At 44.0% G+C, this 19,828-nt stretch overlaps 1 long non-coding RNA gene across 3 annotated transcripts in view; it reads right to left on the reverse strand.

Moving 5' to 3' along the window:
- Positions 1-5,984: 5,984 nt before the first annotated feature.
- The window catches only part of LINC01550 (long intergenic non-protein coding RNA 1550), a 52,515-nt gene continuing 38,671 nt past the window's right edge, over positions 5,985-19,828 (reverse strand). For 2 of the 3 annotated variants that reach the window (NR_152750.1, NR_152749.1), the window contains exon 3: positions 13,441-15,256. This is a non-coding gene — a long non-coding RNA (long intergenic non-protein coding RNA 1550). Of the gene's footprint in view, positions 7,020-13,440; positions 15,257-19,828 lie in introns of those variants that run through there. The other variant, NR_015430.2, reaches the window with a different exon arrangement.

A 19,828-nucleotide genomic window follows, 5' to 3' on the forward strand; every position in this document is an offset into this window, starting at 1 on the left:
AGTGATTATCCTGTCTCAGCCTCCTGAGTAGCTGGGACTACAGGCACCTGCCACCATGCCCAGCTAATTTTTGTATTTTTAGTAGAGACGGAGTTTCACCATGTTGGTCAGGATGGTCTTGATCTCTGGGTCTCGTGATTCGCCTGCCTCAGCTCCCACAAAGTGCTGGGATTACAGGCATGAGCCACCATGCATGGCCAATACAAGTCATTTTCAATCCCCACCTCTCCTTCCTCCACTTCTTCCTTCCTTCTGAGAGTCCAGCCTGCAAGGTCTAGAGAAGGCTCTAACCTCTGCTAGAATCCACAGGGGAGGGGACAAAAATGCAGTGGTGAGCAAACTCTATGCTGATTGTAAGGAACAGTGCCAGATAGAAGGAGTGCTGGGACCTCAAGGGAAGCTTAATTTCAGCCGGTGCGACTGCAGTCACCAGAAGCCACGTGTCTTCAGGATGTTCTGCACAGTGTGACTAGGGCTGTGCCCCGCCTGACTCTTCAAGCTCCAACTCCAAAGGCCTGGCTTGTGCCATCTTCCCTAAGCTGGAACCAAACTCCCATGGCCTTGGACTCCTTGGACTCCACATGCAGCCACCATCCAGCTGGCCTCCACTCTGTCACTTGGTATTTCTGGCATTTCTATTTTATAAAAGCCTGTGAGCTGGCAGGGAGGGGACTATCTCATGCACCCTCCGTCCTAGCACCGGACACAGCACTGGCTTGTTATTGCCATGTGGGTGGAAGCACAAACCACCTGGGCGACAGTGCCATGATTCAGCCACTTTTCTCCTTCCAGGAGGTCCAAAGTCATATGCTGTGTCTTCACGGAGACAGATGAGTCATCAGAGACCTAACATTAGGCTCTGATATGGCCTAAGAGTTGCCGCAGCTCATTGGCAAAGTTGGCCACTAACAAGCCTGCAGCCACTGTCTCCATCACCCATGCACTGCCCAGTACTGGGTAACAGTCATTGAGTGAGACAATCACACAGAAATGAGGGTCTAGCTAGGGAGGGCAGGGATGCTAGGCATTAAATAAACACACAGACACACACCGACACACACACACACACACACATTTACATTAAAGTCCAAAATCAGTGTGTCCGTCTCTAGGACTAAGAGGAGAGAGAAGGTACATTTAGAAATAGGTGTGAACGGGTGTGTTTCAGCCATATTGCAGCAATGGGCTTGGGGTAAAGATCCCTGGAAGGCTACTGCACCTGGAAGTCTATATCATTGAATTCAGGGCTGGGTGCTGTGGCTCACACCTGTAATCCCAGCACTTTGGGAGGCCGAGGTGGCTGGATCACCTGAGGTCAGGAGTTCGAGACCAGCCTGGCCAACATGGTGAAACCCTGTCTCTACTAAAAATAAAAAAATTAGCTGGGCATGTTGGCATGCACCTGTAATCCCAGCTACTCCAGAGGCTGAGGCAGAAGAATTGCTTGAACCCAGGAGACGAATGTTGCTGTAAGCCAAGGTCGTGCCATCACACTCCAGCCTGAGCAACAATAGTGAAACTCTGTCTCAAAGGAGAAAAAAATTCAGCCACAGAATTTTCATAGAGGGAGACTTTTGGTCTTACATGAATTCATCCCTACACGGAAGGAGAGTAGGGAGGTCAGGAGAGGAGATCCCACCCATCAGCCCACCAGAGGCCATGCTGCTCAGCTCTGGCGTCTACTATTCTGAGTACAGGAAATGTTGAGTCAAAAATTTTAGCAGATATTTTTATTTTTCTCTCACACTGGATTCTGGGAGCTTGAACTGCCAGGACGTCAGAGAAGAGAAAGTGTCGGACACCCGAAATGACATGCAGACTTGCTAAAGCTCGTCTCACACACAGCTCTGCATCTATCTGTTTAGCCAGATTTCCTTATCTCAGGCTGAGTCAGAAATTAAAATATCTCTTAGGCTATGCTAAGAGAATGGGGTAGAGCAACCAAAGACTCTGGGGCAAACCAGATAAGGACCCTGGGGAGTCATTTGTGAAAAGTCACTTACCCTCCCTGAGCCTCAGTTTCTCATCTGTAAAATGGATTTGATAAAGTCAACCTCTTAGGTGATCATGAGGACTAAATATGATGAAGTGCTTAAAAGCCCCTATTTAATTTAGGTATTGAAAGCATCCTGGCAATTTGTATATATTTATAAATGGACCTAAACTTTCTACTTTTAATAGATTACCTTCCAAAATAAAGTCTGTGGGAATCAGTCTCTGAAATTAAACTCCCTTTCTCATTGGAACTTTTAAGACCAGGATTTCGTCATTCATTCCCCCCCGTGCAGATGGAGAAGCAAGTCAGAGGTAAGCACGTGCCTCAGGCACATGTGGAATCATATTTAGAGTTGATGTGAACATTTTTGGCTCTCAGAGATGCCCCTAGAATCCCATGTAAAAAAAGCCTCTCGTTAACATAGAAAACTCATAAGCAAAGCTCTGAGTCAGCCAGGATATATCCTCAAGGTGGGCTCAAGTTCAACACACATGAAAGAGAAAGATATTTAGTTAGCTTTCTGAAATCCTTCTCATCTTAGGCCATTCTTCCACTGTAGAAGGCAACAAGATGCCTTGAAAAGAAAGTGATGTTAACCAGACTTACCTTGACATCCCCTACTGAGACCTTTCAACCTATATGGCCTCAGGCACAAGAATTTACTCTACTGCACCTTAGTTTTCTCATCTCTGAAATGGGAATAATGGTAAGTCTTCTTTTAAAAGCCAAATTGGATAAGGCTTGTGGAGTGCTTAATTAATGCCATACCCATTTCCTGAGATGGCATTTTTTTCCCCAGGCCACGTGATTTAAACTCATAGCAGACCTCACTCTCTAGTGAAGCAGGACTTCTCAAGCTTTAATGTGCATAGAAACCACATTGATGGGGGAGGTGGGGGGCTTGTTTAAATGCATATTCTGATATAGCAGGTCTTGGGTAGATCCAAACATTCTACACATGTAGCAAGCTCTCAGGTAACATAGTTACTACTGGTCTAGGAATCTCACTTTGAGAAGAAAGTCTGTGGTGGACTCCAGGAATGAAGGAAGGTAGGACAAGTAAGTAAGGAGCTGTGGGTTTGGTTCATCTTCATCCTATACAAACTCCATGTGTACACAGAAGTGCAGACACAAACATGCATGTTCACACAAGCACACCTAAATGCATGCTCAGGCACACACAGGCTCACACACATGTATGTGCACACAGCAGGCCCCCACCTACAGATACATATGCATATGTACACACCTCCCAAGTCCATGCTCATCTACATGCAGGCTCACAGTCACATGTGTGCATGCAAGCACAAACATGCACCTGCAGACACATACATGTGTGTCCACACAAGTGTGCCTATGGGCACACTTGCTTATGCACAGACTCCCACCTACCCACCCTTCCTCTCAGTTAGGGGCTGTGCTTCAGCACAGAGTTTTCATGAATGGGCTCTACAGAGGAATTCCTACTTTCACCCTAGATGGGTCTTACACTGATTCCATCCACATCTCTCTGTCCCACTTCCTTATTTTACCTGAAGTGGCAATGCTGAGCCTGTGACCCCCATGGCCAATGTATTTGCTCTGAGAATAGACCAGCCAAGAAACAGACTTGCTGCTGGTGGAGAAGACCCATCCTCATTTTCCACACTTCTCCTCTGGCTGAAAATGAGAAGGACAGTGTTCCACAGTCTGCAACTGTAGCTCTTTTTCTCTCTGTCACAAGGCATCCCTGTTTATGGGCAGGGCTTCCCTTCTCTAGCCCTTCATTTTCACCTCTGTAGTAATAATAGACATTATTATAATAGAAGTTGTAACTTATTGCACATTTATCACCATGATGAATACTTTACATGTTAATATGAATTTTTTGATTCCTGACCCCATCCTTGTGAGAAGGCAATATTCTTATTCCCATTTGCAAGTGAGGGAAGTGAGGCCCACAGACATTGGGGAAACCTTCCCAGGCTGACAGCTTGGAGCAATGCTGGGAAGAGGGAGTTCTGGTTCCGAACTTGCACACTGACCTATCACACTCGGGTCTCAGACTAGATGACAAGTGGCACGATCACCTCTCCCTCTCCCTCCTGACCCTTTCCTCCATGTCTATTTCTGCAGTGTCATGTCTTTCCTTCTTTGTTTCTCCTTTTCTTTGCCTTCATTTTTATTCTCGTCTTCTCCATTCTTCTCCTTACTTCTTTCTTGCCTTTTCTTTCATGATTCCTTGCTTGCTGCTGTCCTCCTGCTTCCATCCACTTTGTCCTGGATGTCCTATGCCCGAGGAAAATGAACACCACCCTACTTAAAATGAATTTAGTGCTGAGAGCTCCACTGGCACGAGAACGGGAAGTCTGTAAAGTGGGGACATTTCTCAGTCTGTAAAATGACTGAGAACTTTCCAGGTGTCCACCAAGTTGACCCACTCAATCCTCAAGTGCTCAGAGGACACAGAACTTCACTGAATCTTACCTGCCACCATTGTGTGGGATTTCTACCTAGCACTGGCTTTATGCTAATGGCATTATGTGACCTTTTTCCTCTGGGCCTCAAAACAGCCCTCATACGTAGATATGACAATGTTCATCCCCTAGATGATGACCCTGAGTCTCAGGATGGGAGGAGATTGTACAAGGTGGTCCAGGGAAATGAGTCAGGGGTGGAGCTGCCTGATTGACTCTGTTGCCTTACATTGTCTTTCATCTTTTAAAGGAGAAAAAAGGGAGCAAAAATAAGAAATTATTTAGAAAATTTTACTATGAGAAACATAGATGGTCATAGTCAAGAAGGAGAACAAACACCTGTTTCAAAGATGAGGACCCTGAACTCTGAGAAGGGAAGGAGTTTGACCAGTACTTGGAGGACTCACCCAGGTTCCCGCCACCACCAGGGACCCTCGTCATCACTACACAAATCTATGACATCTTCTCCAATGTAATGCCATAGTAGGAAATGAGCTGCAAGCCAGTGTTCTTAGTTGACTATCTTTGACTATGTAACATGCACACACACACACACACACACACACGACACACACACACACAATTTTCGATATTCTCATCAACATCTTCAGGTAGGCAAGGTGGAAATTGTTAGTGTGGCTGCATGACAGATGCAGAAGTTAGCACCATGCCAAACTTGCTCAGCAAAAGAGGCGAAGCTGGGTCTCCACTCAGGGCCTGTAGCACATGCTAGTCTCACTGGACAGCACTACTTTGGAATGGCCACCTTTGGGGTCTGGGGGAAAGATGAGTGCATGAATTAAGAATTACTTCTGTAAAGCTGCAGGTCATTTCAGAGAGTATCTGGGCTGGAACATCCATTTACCATTGTCAACCTATAGACATGGACGACACAGAGGTGTTGACAGAATAGTTCGACGTGTTAGCTTGATCTTACTTCATTGCACCCTTCGTGATGCTGCTATTTTAGTATGTCATCCTCTAGTTACCCAAAACTTCCCCAGTTATCTTACTATTGCAGAACCCAGGGTCTGGTTTCATAAAGATCTCCCCGCATTACTCACTGTAGAGAGATGATCAAACACAGAGTTTTTAGGGCACTGGTGTGACTTGGCTTCATGCCCCTGTCTTTTGTTATACCGTTATTAGCCAAGATACGTTTTTCAAGAACACAGTCAGGCATGTACACTGGGTCAAGGCATTGCTGCCGGAAGCCAGGCTCCTCCATGATGAAATGTTTATAAGGTGATAGCTCTGCACAGAGTCGCCTCCTTCAAATTCACTTAAGTAGTGATAAAAACCACTGCGGTCTAGCCCTATTTATCTTTTGGCCTCATCTTCTCGCCACTCCTCACCATCTTTTCTTGAAGAAGTATGGTTTTGCTTACAATTCCCTAATTGAGTCATGCTGGTTATAGGCTTCCATGCCATTACCCATCTGTTCATTCTGCCTAGAATGTCATCTTCTCATCATCTTCAAGACCAACCAACTCAAGGATCCCTCTGACAATGTCACACTCCTCACCACAGGCCACCTTTTTTGTTTTTATTTTTTTTTTTGAGACTCTGTCACAAGGCTAGAGTGCAGTGCTGTGATCTCGGCTCACTGCAACCTCCGCCTCACAGGCTCAAGCCATTCTCTTGCCTCAGTCTCCCTAGTAGCTGGGACTACAGGTGCATGCCAACACGGCCAGCTAATATTTGTATTTTTAGTAGAGACGGGGTTTCACCATGTTGGCCAGGATGTTCTCGATCTCTTGACCTCGTGATCTGCCCACGTCAGTCTCCGAAAGTGCTGAGATTACAGGTGTGAGCCACCGCACCCAGCCCACAGCCCACTTTTAACCCACAGGAGCTGATCTGCTGTCCTGTCCGCTGCAGTGCATGGACTTTTTTCTCAGCCCTTATTTTCCCCTATTACTGTGATTTTCTCCAAGCTGTCTTCCCCATGTGCTCATGAATTCCGGGAGATGACGGATAATCCCTGACTCATCCTTGCAACCCTGACACAACGCCCAGGCCCTGACATGGAGAAGTGTCCATGAAGTCTGGTTGAATAAATGAGTGAATGAATGAATGAATGAACAAAATTAGCTAGATGTAGTGAGGCCTCTTCCACCAAACCACAGCTGAAGGGTTTTGGAGAAAGCCTCATTCTGCAAGGAGGTCTAGATCTTTATTAGGCCTGGCCATTGGCGGGGCTTGAACCTCAGAGCCCACCACTCCTAGCACCTCTTCCCCTCTCTTCTGCTGTGCTTCAAATGGACCCAGAGATGAATTAAGTCAGAGAAATTCCCAAGTCTCCTTTCTATCCACATCCAGGTTAACATTGCTGGAAAGTGTTTTGCCTACTGAGGACTTCTCCTTCCCAATATGATTCTTGGTATGTGCTCACATTGACTTCGTATTGAGGGCACTGCATTTTATTCAATGCGACAGCATAGCACAGTGGGTACATGCATAGGCTGCAGAGTCTGACTACATTTGTTCAAATCCAGCTTGAACCACTTCTCAGTTGCATGGCATCAAATGTGTTGTTCGACCTTGTGAAGGCTCAGCTTCCTTGTCTGGAAAATAAAAACACAGTAACAATGCAACCTCATAGGATTTTAGGAAAATCAGAGATAGTTCAGGGAATGTTCCTCGCATAATGAATGTTCATTGTGTATGATTTGTTAGTTTGTTTGAATCATGATCATTGCTGGGACTCCAGGCCTCAGCAGGTCGACATCCAGCCCTGTGAGCCCTGAGCAGAGGACCCCGCCATACCATGTGGGATTTCTGGCCTACCGAACACTGAGCTAATAAATGGGTGTTGTTTTGTGTTGCTACGTTTGTGGTGACTTGAGGGAGCTCTAGCAATCTGGAGTTGGAGATAGTCGAGGCCTTGGATGGGGGAGGCAGGGATGGGTCAGGGGAGGTGAACACATTTTTTTGCTTTTGGTTACAAGATTGCAAAGACAGCCCCAGAGATAGAGATAAGGGTGGAGACCACTGAAGGAGGCCAGCTCTCAGGGGGAGAGGCATAAGGTTAGAGGTGTAGCAAACACCCCACGGGGAGATTCTCTAATCAACACAAGCTCAGGGGGAACCCCAGAATGATTGTATTAATTAGGCTACCCCTCATGATTGGCAATTAAGTCTTGGAGAAGGAGCAGAACTAACATTTACTGTGTTCATCCTGCTTGACAAAGGGATGTGTGTGTATTTACGTGCACATGTGTGTACACATGTTGGGGGAAGAGGTTGAAAGGGAGAGGGATGTATTAACCTTCTGTACTTATGGAAAATAAATGAATAATAGAAATTCTAACCTCATGTCTATATTGGTTTCTCATCTTGCTTCCTAGAAATTATTTATCTTTGGACTTAACTTTTCCATCTGCAACATGGAATACATGAATGTTAGTTTCCAAGAGGTAGATCAAACATCATTGGTCAAGAACACAATGTGAAGAAAACCTCCAGCAGACCCAAGACACAGAGCCAGAGAGGTTCAAGGGTTCCAACTGCATTGATTTCCACCTCCTCATTTTTCCCAGAGGTGGGGCTGTTACTGACTCCACTTCAATTCTATCAAATTCCCATTCAAGGCTCAATTATCCAAATATACAGAATACACAGAATCAAAATCCACTCACATCTGGCCAGCTGCATTTGCTCATGTAGAATGATCATGGCTGTTAAAACATGACTTTGCGAAGACACCTCTGTTTGCTGCATTACCTGTTTTCATCACTAACTGAAGAATGGGAGGTGGGTTTCACCAAAGTTATGGGGATGAGCAAAACGGGCAGTGGGGAAGGGATACTAGAGCAAAGTCTGAAGTTAAATATTTTTTCAGAGGCTGATGAAGATGAGGAATAAAGAGTGTTCAGTGAGAGGCTGGGTGCAGTGGCTCATGCCTGTAATCCCAGCACTTTGGGAGGCCGAGGCAGGTGGATCACCAGAGGTCAGTAGTTTGAGACCAGCCTGGCCAACATGGTGAAACCCTGTCTCTACTAAAATTACAAAAATTAGCAGGGTTACCTGCTAATCCCAGATAATCCCAGGATTACAGGATTACCTGTAATTCCAGCTACTCAGGAGGCTGAAGCAGGAGAATCGCTTGAACCTGGGAGGCAGAGGTTGCAGTGAGCTGAGATTGCACCACTGCACTCCAGCCTGGGTGACAGAGTGAGACTCCATCTCAAAATAAAAATAAATAAATAAATAAAAAGAAGAGTGTTCAATGAAATGGGGACAGACAGTGAGTAGGACCATACTGTAGACATTTTAAACACTCAAGAAAGGTATTTTGCTGGCTGGAATTAGCAGTGGGGTGCCACGAAAGTTACTGTTCAGGAAACAGATCAGAGAAGAATGTTCAGTGGAGGAATTAGAATTGGTGTCCCTCCAGTGAGGCAGCCCTCCATGGGGGCTCCACCCCAGCAAATATCAAAGAGGAGCTTGTCCGTCTCATTCTTACTTCCAGAACAATGTCAACACTTTCTGCATACTGCCCTAGGCCCAGCCCTGGGCCAGAACAGAAGATGAAGAAGGGAACAGGGACAGGCCTCTGTCCTCACAATTGCCACACTTTAGTAGATTTGGGAGCTGTGCCCATTTGCAGTTCCAGCTAAAGACTTGAGCCTTGTAGCCCACAGTATCCTGGGTGCCCCTGACAGCCATGCCTGTGAAGTTATGTGAGTTAATTCGTGAAAACTTTTTGAATCAGTATTTGGTACATAGTAACCTCTAAAACCTGGTATTAACATTGTTATTCTCCTTATCATTATGATTTCCTACCAACACACTCTACGCCTATCTCTGAGATTTGTGTGAACCATCAACTAGCTCCCGAGGCCATCTAGCCAGCCAGCCCAGTGGCCTAATCACTCTGAAGAAGGGGCCGCTGGAGATCACAATGCACTTCAGAGCATGTAAGGTTCTGATAAGCCCTGATACACAGAACACTGTCTCAGCCACTGTGGTCCACACCTGCTTGACTTGACTATATATATGGTGACTTTTGGTCTCGAACAGAAATAGAGGTTCACATGTCTGAAAATTTTATTTCTCCTTATTCAATGAGCCTTTTCCTGAACTCTGCGTGCATTAAAAAAAAATCTCTCATTTGTCCTTTTATGGGGGACCAGGGGAACAGGATGGCTCATTTCATTAGCAAAAGCAACAATTATAGGGACCCTCTGGACAGCTTTTTGGATCTTGTAAACACTTTTGTACATGCTCACAACAATCACATGAGGTTGACGTTGATAGTCCCACTTGCTGTTGGTGGAATTGTGGCTCAGAGAGGCTGTGTGCCCTACTTAAAGTCACAGAGCTAGAAAGTGACTGGAAGGTGCCTACATTTATGTTGTCTAAATTCACAACCCAAGCTGTTTCAAATATTTCAAAGTGCTTCTAAAATTAGAAATTCCAGGTGACTTACAAATTGTGAGTTGGGGTATTTATATATGTGGAGGTGAAAACAAATCCCTGTCGATGTGACGTGGAATTGAAATCAACCATAACTTGGCTCAGAGATGGGGCTCTGTGCAGGTGGTAATCCAAGCTGTCCTCGAAGGTGAGAGCTGTTACTACCATTCCCGATGTTAACAGTGGCCTGAGCTTATACACTAGAAGAGTCTCCATCAGAAAGAGAAGAAGATGTTGGAAGCTTCAGCAGATGGGCTGTTTGCCTCTCACTGAAAAGAACAGCATCGTATCAGGGTCTGCTGGGGTTTTACAAAGCCCAGATAGAGACAAGAGTTGCCGCACAACCCATAGGAGAAAAATTAAGCAAACTAAAACCTTTCTTGGAGAGCAGAGCTTCCATATAAAGATTGCCACTTGGTTGCTTGCTGGCATCTCTCCGCGATGGCAGATTTTCACCCGAAACCACCAGAGCCCGCCCCACCCCTTATCTCTGCGCTGGCCCTGGTGGAGACTCCAAAGGACAAAAGGCACACCGTCATGGTGCTTCCAGCCCACAGCCCCCTAAAAATAACTTCTCATTCTTTGAGTCTTGGGAAGAAGAAGAAAAACACCTGGTTTGTGTGAGACATTCAGGTTGCGTTGTTCTTTGTGGTTGTGTTGTTGTTTTTTTCCTTGCTGAAAGGAGAAAGTTAACATTTGTTCCTCAAAACAAGTCTCTTCTCCATCTGGAATCAATGGGGGCGGCCCTCAGCGGATCACCCCTGAGGACTGGCTGATGTTTATAAGATCTTAATCCTGGGGGGAACGGGCTGGCTTAGGAGGCTGGTAATGGGATAAGAAACCTCTCCTCTCCAGGGCACCAGCTGGAACCCAGCCCAGGCTCTTAATGACGGGAAGTCTCCAGCTAGCGGATTGGGAGGCTCACTGTGAAATGAGCTGGCGGGCTGAGGCCAAGGTGGCTCCAGCTCCACCTCCCCCACCCCATTCCCTTTCAGGTTCAATGTCAAGGATTTCCACGTTATGTCGAGGAGGCCCTGGGCCTCAGGGTTGAGCCAGCCATTACAGGGCTGGTGTGGTTGAAAGGCAGGAAAAATGGGAATGAGTTTCTTTACCGTTACAAGGGAACACATGTTGTTTGAGCACCTACTGTGTGCGCCTGGCATTGTGCTAGAACAAAGAACATATTATTTCATTTCACCTTCACAGCAGCTCTGTAGCTGCTAATGTTGTCCTCACTGAGACAGATGAGGAAGCTGAGGAAAAGAGAGGTTGAGTAATGTGCCCAGGTTGCACAGGTAATAGGCCTTTGATTCCGATTCAAGGACCTGTAGTCTTTCCACTGCTGACAGATAATACTGAGCTCCCTCCAATGTGGAATGGTCCAGCCTGGAAGCTTCCTACCCATGGTGGACACACACACACACACACACACACACACACACACACACACAGCCTTCATCAACAGCAGCACTCAAATCATGCCATAAAAATTTCTCACAAGTCACAGAATCATTTTATGTTTATAGCTTATAGCAAAGATTAGCAATTTTTCTTTTCTGTAAACAGACGGAAGCTTGTAAGTAGTTTCTTAGTTTCTGCTTTGCTGGCCATTTGATCTCTGTCTTGACTACATACCTTTGTCACTGGCAGGAAAGCAGCTCTAGATAATACATGAGCCTGGCTATGTTCCAGAAACCTTTACTTAAAAACACATGTGATGATGGGTTGGACTTGGCCCATAGGCCATCATTTGCCAATGCCTGACTTAGAAGAATTATTCCTGCATTTAAATAAATCAGGAAAAGGCTTCTTGGAGGAGGTGCCGTTTAAGGTAGGCCTCAATGAACAGGTGGAATTTGGAATATGAAACTGAGGAAAGGGGTAGATATTATGAAAAAGAGACCAGAGTGAAAGAAGGCATGAGGCAGGAGAGTACAGAGTGAATCTAGAGATGTAGAATGACTCAGTGTGGGAAGAGAACCACATGGGGCAAAAAGCAGAGGAGACACCACTCAAGAGGAAGGACCAGGCTGGCTGAAGAAGTGCCTGAATGCCTGCTGGGGAAACACAACCCGATGGTCTATGATCCCCACCGCTCTTGCAAACATTCCAAATCCTTTGTCTGAAAAAATGTTAGAACATGAGTCTCCGATGGTTTAAATTTGGTGTAAAAATGGGAAAAAAATAATGTTATGGAAGCACAGGGAAATATGTGCTTGTGGAACCAGATGGAATGTAAAGCTGAGGAGGGAGGTCCAGTGGAGAGAAATGCATAGAGCAGAAGGCTGAAAAATATGCAGAGTTGAGGATCAACTGACCTTGGTGAAAAACTTACCACTAGCTGTGTGGTTACTTAGCCTCTCTGAATTTGAGCTTTTTCCTGGAACATTGGGCCAATGATGTGCACCACACAATGATCTGCACGTGTGATGCAGATGACAGGAGATGGCACATATGACACATGTAACCCATGTTGGGGACATATGAGAATTTTATTAGACAGGGTCCTCTAGAGGGACTGAACTAATAGGATATATGTATATACAAAAGAGAGTTTATTAAAGAGAATTGACTCACAGGATCACAAGGTGAAGTCCCACTACAGGTCATCTGCAAGTTGAGGGTCAAGGAAGCCAGTAGTAGCTCAATTCAAGTCCCCAAACCTCAAAAGTAGGGAAGCCGACAGTGCAGACTTCAGTCTGTGGCCAACGCCAAAGACCCAAGAGGAGTCCCTGGCAAACCACTGGTCTAGGTCCAAGAGTCCAAAAGCTGAAGAACTTGCAATCTGATGTTCGGGGACAGGAAGTATCCATCATAGGAGAAAGATGAAGGCTGGAAGACTCAGGAGGTGATCTAAGTCATCTTCTCCCATTTCTCCTGCCTGTTTTTACTTTATTTTTATTATTTATTTATTTATTTGAGACGGAGTCTTGCTCTGTCACCCAAGCTGTAGTGCAATGGCACTAACTCGGCTCACTGCAAGCTCCATCTCCAGGGTTCAAGCAATTCTCCCACCTCAGCCTCCTGAGTAGCTTGGATTACAGGCACCCACCATTATGCCTGGCTAACTTTTGTATTTTTGTAGAGATGAGGCTTCACCATGTTAGCCAAGCTGGTCTTGAACTCCTGACCTCCCGAAGTCCTGGGATTACAGGCATGAGCCACTGCGCCCAACCATGCCTGCTTTTACTAGCCACACTAGCAGCCGACTGGATGGTGCTACCCATGTTGTGGGTGGGTCTTCCTGAGGGTGGGTCTTCTTCTCCCAGGCCACTGACTCAAATGTTCACCTCTTTTGGCAACACCCAGAAATACCCAGATATGCCCAGAAATAATACTTTGCATACTTCAATCCAATCAAGTTGACACTTAATATTAACCATCACAAAGACTATTTAAAAGGGCAGGAAGACTTTTTCTTGCCAAAGTCTGAGAAGTGTGCTTCTTGTACAACAGGTGCTTTGGAATAGCTCTCCTGATTCAAGGCCAGAACATTCTACCTTCAACTCGGGTATTTGGAGGTGGTGAGAGTAGGCATGAGGGCCTTTTTTTTTTCTTTTTTTCTCTTTTTTTTTTTTTTTTCAGACGGAGTCCCTCTGTCGGCCAGGCTGGAGTGTAGTGGCTGGATCTCTGCTCACTGCAAGCTACACCTCCCAGGTTCACGCCATTCTCCTGCCTCAGCCTCCCAAGTAGCTGGGACTACAGGCACCTGCCACCACGTCCGGCTAATTTTTTGTATTTTTAGTAGAGACGGGGTTTCACCGTGTTGGCCAGGATGGTCTCGATCTCCTGACCTCGTGATCTGCCCGCCTTGGCCTCCCAAAGTTCTGGGATTACAGGAGTGAGCCACTGCGCCTGGCTGGCATGAGGGTCTTTTGATTTTACCTGGTAAACCAGCAGGAAAACTGGCTGTGTGTGTCCACATCACTTACTTGCTACACACTAGCCCTGTCTTGAACATCTCGGGCTCTGCTCTTCCTCTCTGCCTTTGCATGAACTTTTCCCAGTGTAAGGAGAAACTTTTTCTTTCTTCCTCTCTTTGCAATCTTCCAAGGCCCAGGACAAAGTCTGCCTTCCTGGTGAAAAGTCTACTGGGCCTCATTCTGTCTACATGTAACCTTTGATAAACTCCAAGTCTCTTAAAAGCAGGTTTTGTTACCTTTGTGACAATAGCCACCAACTTCATACTTCAAGTATATTTGGTACAAATAATTGCACAGATCAGAGAACAAACAAAAGTGAAGAAAAAGTAGCCACTTTTTCTTCATTGCCTTGTATGTAGTGCATCTTGCTAGGGGTTTTATGATATTGCCTACTATTTACAACACCCGGCTTAGTAGGGATCATTTTCCTCATCAACAAGGCAGGAAGCTGAAGCTCAAGGTGACAGAGCATCATGAATTTTGCCCTTACATTTGCCTTCTTTGGAACTGTAAGTCTTTAAGCAGACCGCCTTCTTTTACAGCACTTGGGTATAAAAACACACAAATACACATGCTCATTGGCACTGTTCCTGGTACAGAGCTGTGCCCAGTTGGAGGGGCCATTTTGAGCAGTGTCCTTGGAGTTCATTGTGTCAACCCTGACACATCAGGCTCCTTAAATGCACATAAGGGCTAATAGACCTGGCAGAACTGAATTTCTCTTGCACTTGAGAATTCATATTCCCTGACAATAAAGGATCTAGAAATGGAGACATCTTCCAAATGCACATGTTTGAATGTGATGGGAACAATAGTGTCATCCTTGAACCAAGGGGAAGGCACGGTGTTTGCTGGGAGTGTGTGGTTTTTATCCTGCATTCAAATCATCATGCAGCAGCTCTTCGCACAAGGAGTAAGACGTTGTTCACTGTGCATTCTGTTCAGCTGTGCAATGAAGAGGAGAGAGAGAGGTGCTGGGCTTGGTGGCTGCAGCTGTGTGGGGAGCCACTGAGTCTCTGTGATGAGATATTGCAATAGGCAGAATCAAGGCACCCTAAAGATGCCCCACGTTAGTCCCCAGGACCCATGAATATGTCCCCTTATGTGGATAAAGGGACTGTGCAGATGTAATAAAGTTAAAAACCTTGAAATGGGAAGATGATCCTAGTACACCTGGGAGGACACTAAATATAGTCACAAGGGTCCTTGAAATCCACGAACCATTCCTGGCTGAGTTCAGAGTCAGAGGGAGAGAGGACCATGAAGAAGGGTCAGAGAGAAATGATGTTGCTGACTTTGAAGAAAGAGGAAGGGGTCCATGAGCCAAGGGATGTGGGAGGCATCTGTGACCTTAAAAAGGGGACACATTTTTCCACCTAGAGCTTCCAGAAAGGAATGCAACCTGCTGGCATCTTGATGTGAGTCCAGTGAGACCCATGTCTGATGTCTGTCCTACAGAGCTGAAAGAAAATAAATTTGTATTGCTTTAAGCCACCCAGTTGGTGATAATTTATTACAAGAGAAGACTCATACAAACATTTCTTCTGAGGCTTATCCTGCAAACAAACCAACACACACATAAACCAACACACACATAAAACAGTACAAGGCCTACATTAGCCGTGGTCACCTACTGCCATATGGGATGTGGCCCACAATGCCCTTGACCTAGACAGAAACTTTCCAGAAGGGAGCAGTGAAAAGAGGCCATCCAGGGGAAGAGACGTGAGCTGACCCTTTGTGGTTGGGTCTAGGGAACACCTATCCCTATTATGCCACAGGTTTAACGTGCCAGCACTGGATTGCAAAAGGCAGTATGGGATAAGGAAACACTCATGGAACTTATAGTCAGACAAGCCTGGGGTAAAGTTCTGCTTTATCCACTCACTACCTGCATGGTCTCCTACAATCTTGCTCAGCTTAATTTGGGAATAACAGTATATAACTTCCGGTTGGTTTGAGAATTTCACAAGATAAGTAATCTATATATCTATGACCTAACCGTTGCCACTAGAACCTAGTAGATGTTCAATAAATTATATTATTTTTATTATTTTACCATTTCCCCTTAGATCATGGCTTCATTTTTTTGCAAGTATGGAAAACAAGCCATTTAAGTACCTCTTATAAGTTTCAAGTGACAATTAGCAAGGCTTTCAAACCACAATATTTCCTTTTAGGAAGTTTTAAAATATTTATTAAAATAACAGATGAATACAATTTTAAAACCAAATGATAATACAAAGATTAGGACATGAAATGAGAGTTTCCTCTTTAACCCAACCCATCTTCCAGATTCCTGCTTTGCAGAGGTAAGAGTATTAGCTAGTTTTTATAATACTTCCAATTTTCTAAACAATATCCTTACAAGACTGACATTTATTGATTTTGTTTTTAAAATATTATTTACTTCATGCTATGAGAGATGCTGATCTAACTCTCTTAAAATGCGCGCACACACACACACACACACACACCCCTCCCATGTAGTTTTAATTTAAATTTTTGATAAGTCAGAAGTGTTTGGGTAAGTTGAATATTGAATCACATAGTATACTGAGCCTCATAATACACTACAATTACACATTCTTGATGGTGAAGCTATTTCCCCTGGAGTAAATAACTATTTATTATTCTTATTTGGTGTTTAATTTTATAGATAGTTATTACTTATCCAGTTTTTACCTTTAAAACTACTATAAGACAACTCACAATATAGACAAACACTGGTAATTTACTACTGCTGTTTTTTTTTTTTTTTTTTTTTTTTTTTTCCTGAAATACCCATTCTTGATTCCTCTGCCCTGCTCCAATTGGACTGACTGTTTCCTAGGGTGGCTGCTTAAATTTAAGCTTGGACTTCTTTTTACTCTCATCTTGGGATTTCTTTTTTCCCCTTTTCTTTGTTTCCTTCCCCTCTCATTAATTCTGTGTATTCTTTATTACTGGCCCAATACCTTATTATATCAGAGAATATATTCTAGAATCTTCCTAAGAAGGCAATACATACTTTGATTGCTTATGATTTTTAAAATATCTTTATTTTATCTTTACCTTGATTAGAGTTTCGATGGGGTATAATTTAAGGTTGAAAGTCATTCTCTCTCACAATAAGAAAAGCATTGTTTGCTTTCTAATTTCCAGTGTCAGTCATTAGAAATCCAGTGGCCTACAGTTTTCTTATCATTTGAATATTTACTTTTGTTCTGTAAGTGTATATGATTTTGTGTTTATTCCGAAGCCCCATGCTGATGTGCCTTGATGTGGATGGTTTCATATTAACTCTGCTGGTCACTTGGGGAAGATGAAATATGTTTCAAATGAAAACCTGTGTGTTTCATTTCTAAGAAATTTTCTTGCATTATGTCTTGAAATTTTTTCTCTTTTTTTTTCCCCCTCTGTTCTCTTTTCCTGGAACTGATATGGGTCAAACATTTGGTTTGTTAGATTTATCCATTGATTTTTATTACCCCATTTTCTATATTCTTGACTTTTTTGTTCATTTTCCAAGGAGATTTTCCTAACTTCATCTCTTAATTCTCCTATTATAATTTTTTTTTCTGTTTTACTTGTTAGAAACCAAGAGTTATTTATTGAACTCTGAATATTCTTTTATTGCACTCTAACATTTCTTGAATGTAATATTCTTTCTTATTTCCCTAAGGATAGGGAAATAATTATAATTATTTGCAGTTTTCTTCTGGCCAGTACAGTCTCTATCTCCCTTAATTTTGTTTGTTTGTTTGTTTTAGCGACTATTTTATGCTCGGAGCTTTATTAAATGTCTGAAGATACTTGGTGTCAATTCTTATTAGGGAGTGAGGAAGTAAATATCTAAATAGAATTTTGTTCACGGGTGGGGCTTATCTACTGCTGAGCCTCATGGTTGCTTAAATGGAAGACCCTGAAGTATCAGTGCCTGTAGTCTTCTCTTCTGGTCTAGTCAGTTTCTCCCAAGAGGATGCCTAGATGCTATGTGTGATGCCAGCGTGCTGGGAGTCCAGCAGCCGAGCAGGGCTGGAGGTCAATGTCCAGTGCCCCAGAAAGGCAGCTAACCACCCTAATTTCTTTCTACAGCATGACCTCTGGTTTCGCTGGGCCTGGTTTCTCTAAGTGAGAGACACTTTGATAGTAACCCTGCATAAGGGGGGATTCTCTAGAGGTTTGAATATCCCTTACACAGAATTTAAGCCAGGCCTCCTATTTTCCATTCCATCTTGCACCCTGGTTCTCAGAAATACCAGGTACCTCCAATTTTTGAGCCTTCTCCAGGTTCTTTGGCACCAATCCTCTTGCTTCTTACTAGAGACGTCTATAGATCATTAGACTGAAGCTTTTTAGCAAAGCTACTTCAATTACCATTTGTCAATTCATTTTTCATCTTCCATAGCTTTGTGGTCATCTCTCACCTGGTGTTGTTTTCTCTGCTTCCAAAGAGCTTATGTTCTAGCAGGGAAGGCATATGCAAGCAAATAAAGTGCAGAATCATAGGAGTTCACTAATAAAATTGTGAGTAAAGTGAATTACCATTAAAATAAAAGGTAATTAACATTCTTTATAGGGGTCAAGGGTGGCTTCCAGGAGAATACAGTTTCTATTAGGTTTTGAAGAGTAAACAGAAGTTTTCCAGATGGATAAATAGAGGAAGAACATCTAAGAGTGATGGCTAGCTTGCGAAAAAAACAAAACAGCAGAAGAATCTGGTTGAATAACTAGAAGTAGGAAGGTATGACGTGAACAGGGGGACAGGGGGAGACCTGGAGCCATGATGGGGCCAGCATATGAGGGCTGGTTTGCCATGCTGAGAGGCTGATCTTTTTTGGAGGTTGAAGGCAGCCATGAGAGGTTTTAGAGTAGGGGAATCATATAGTCATGGCTACATTTTAGAATGACCATTTGTCTAGTGAACATGATATAATGAATGTTCGTATCTTGGGGTATCATCCATGTAGTAGGGAGTTGTGGCACACAATGCAGACTGATATTTTAGGAAAAATCAAATAAACATCTCTGTAAATGCTTGGCCACAAAAAAAAAAAATCACTGAGGTTATTTTTTAAAGATCTCCAATTTTTGAGGTTCCCGAGAGACTTAGAGAATTCATTCTGAGACATACAACCTAGTGACTTTATTTTTGACTTATTTTTTTTCCAAGAAAAGACTCCATTCTCAAAAGTTTAGTTTAGGGTACATGTATCATAATCAGCAGGCATGGCATCAAACCTTCTCAAGAGTCTGAAAACACTAGTCATATTTCCTTGGCATCAATCTACTGCAAAGAGGAGGAGACGGGGCATTGAGGTCCTAATATGTGCCAGCACGCACATTAGGCAACATGCTTGTATTTTTTATTTTCTGGTCCTTTCAACCACCTGTGGTGAATCTTCTCAACCCCACTAAACAGATGAGGAGGCCAAGGTTTGCAAGGTGAGCTTGCCTGTTTGGGTTCCATGACTGTCCAGTGGCCAAAGCAAATGGCAGAGAAATGTCTAGCTGCTTCTCTCCCACACCTTCTCACTATTCTATGCTCTGCCCTTGTTATTACAGCAGATTTCCTGAAGATGCATTTGCTGCTTGGCTATGTCAACACTTGGAGCTAGGAACCCTACTTAACGTCACCATTTGACAGCTGAGCAGCTGAGGAAAGCTTCATTCACAAGGAGATATTATGACTTGATTAAGATCCCACCATTCAACTATAATAGAACTGGAATTTGAACCCAGAAAACCAGGCCTAGAAAGTGCATGTTTGCCCACTGGACTAGGCACCATCTTCTCTCTTTCTTCCTTAAAAGTCTGTGAGGGCATGTCATCACTTCAAGAGTCAAGTTCAAGCTGCCTAGTAAGTGCACAGAGCATTTCATCTCTGGCCCCTGCTTATTCTGTCTCCCTTTCCTACATACTGCAAACCTGGCACCTTGCTTGCAAATCCAGAAATCTCGCACACTCTATTTTTTTATAAACTTTGCTTATGCTGGGGCCCTTAGAGCACCCTGCTCACCCTCACCTTCCAAACTGCCTGGGCATCAGCA

The sequence above is a fragment of the Homo sapiens genome, chromosome 14 (assembly GCF_000001405.40).
Source record: "Homo sapiens chromosome 14, GRCh38.p14 Primary Assembly".
NCBI lineage: Eukaryota > Metazoa > Chordata > Mammalia > Primates > Hominidae > Homo > Homo sapiens.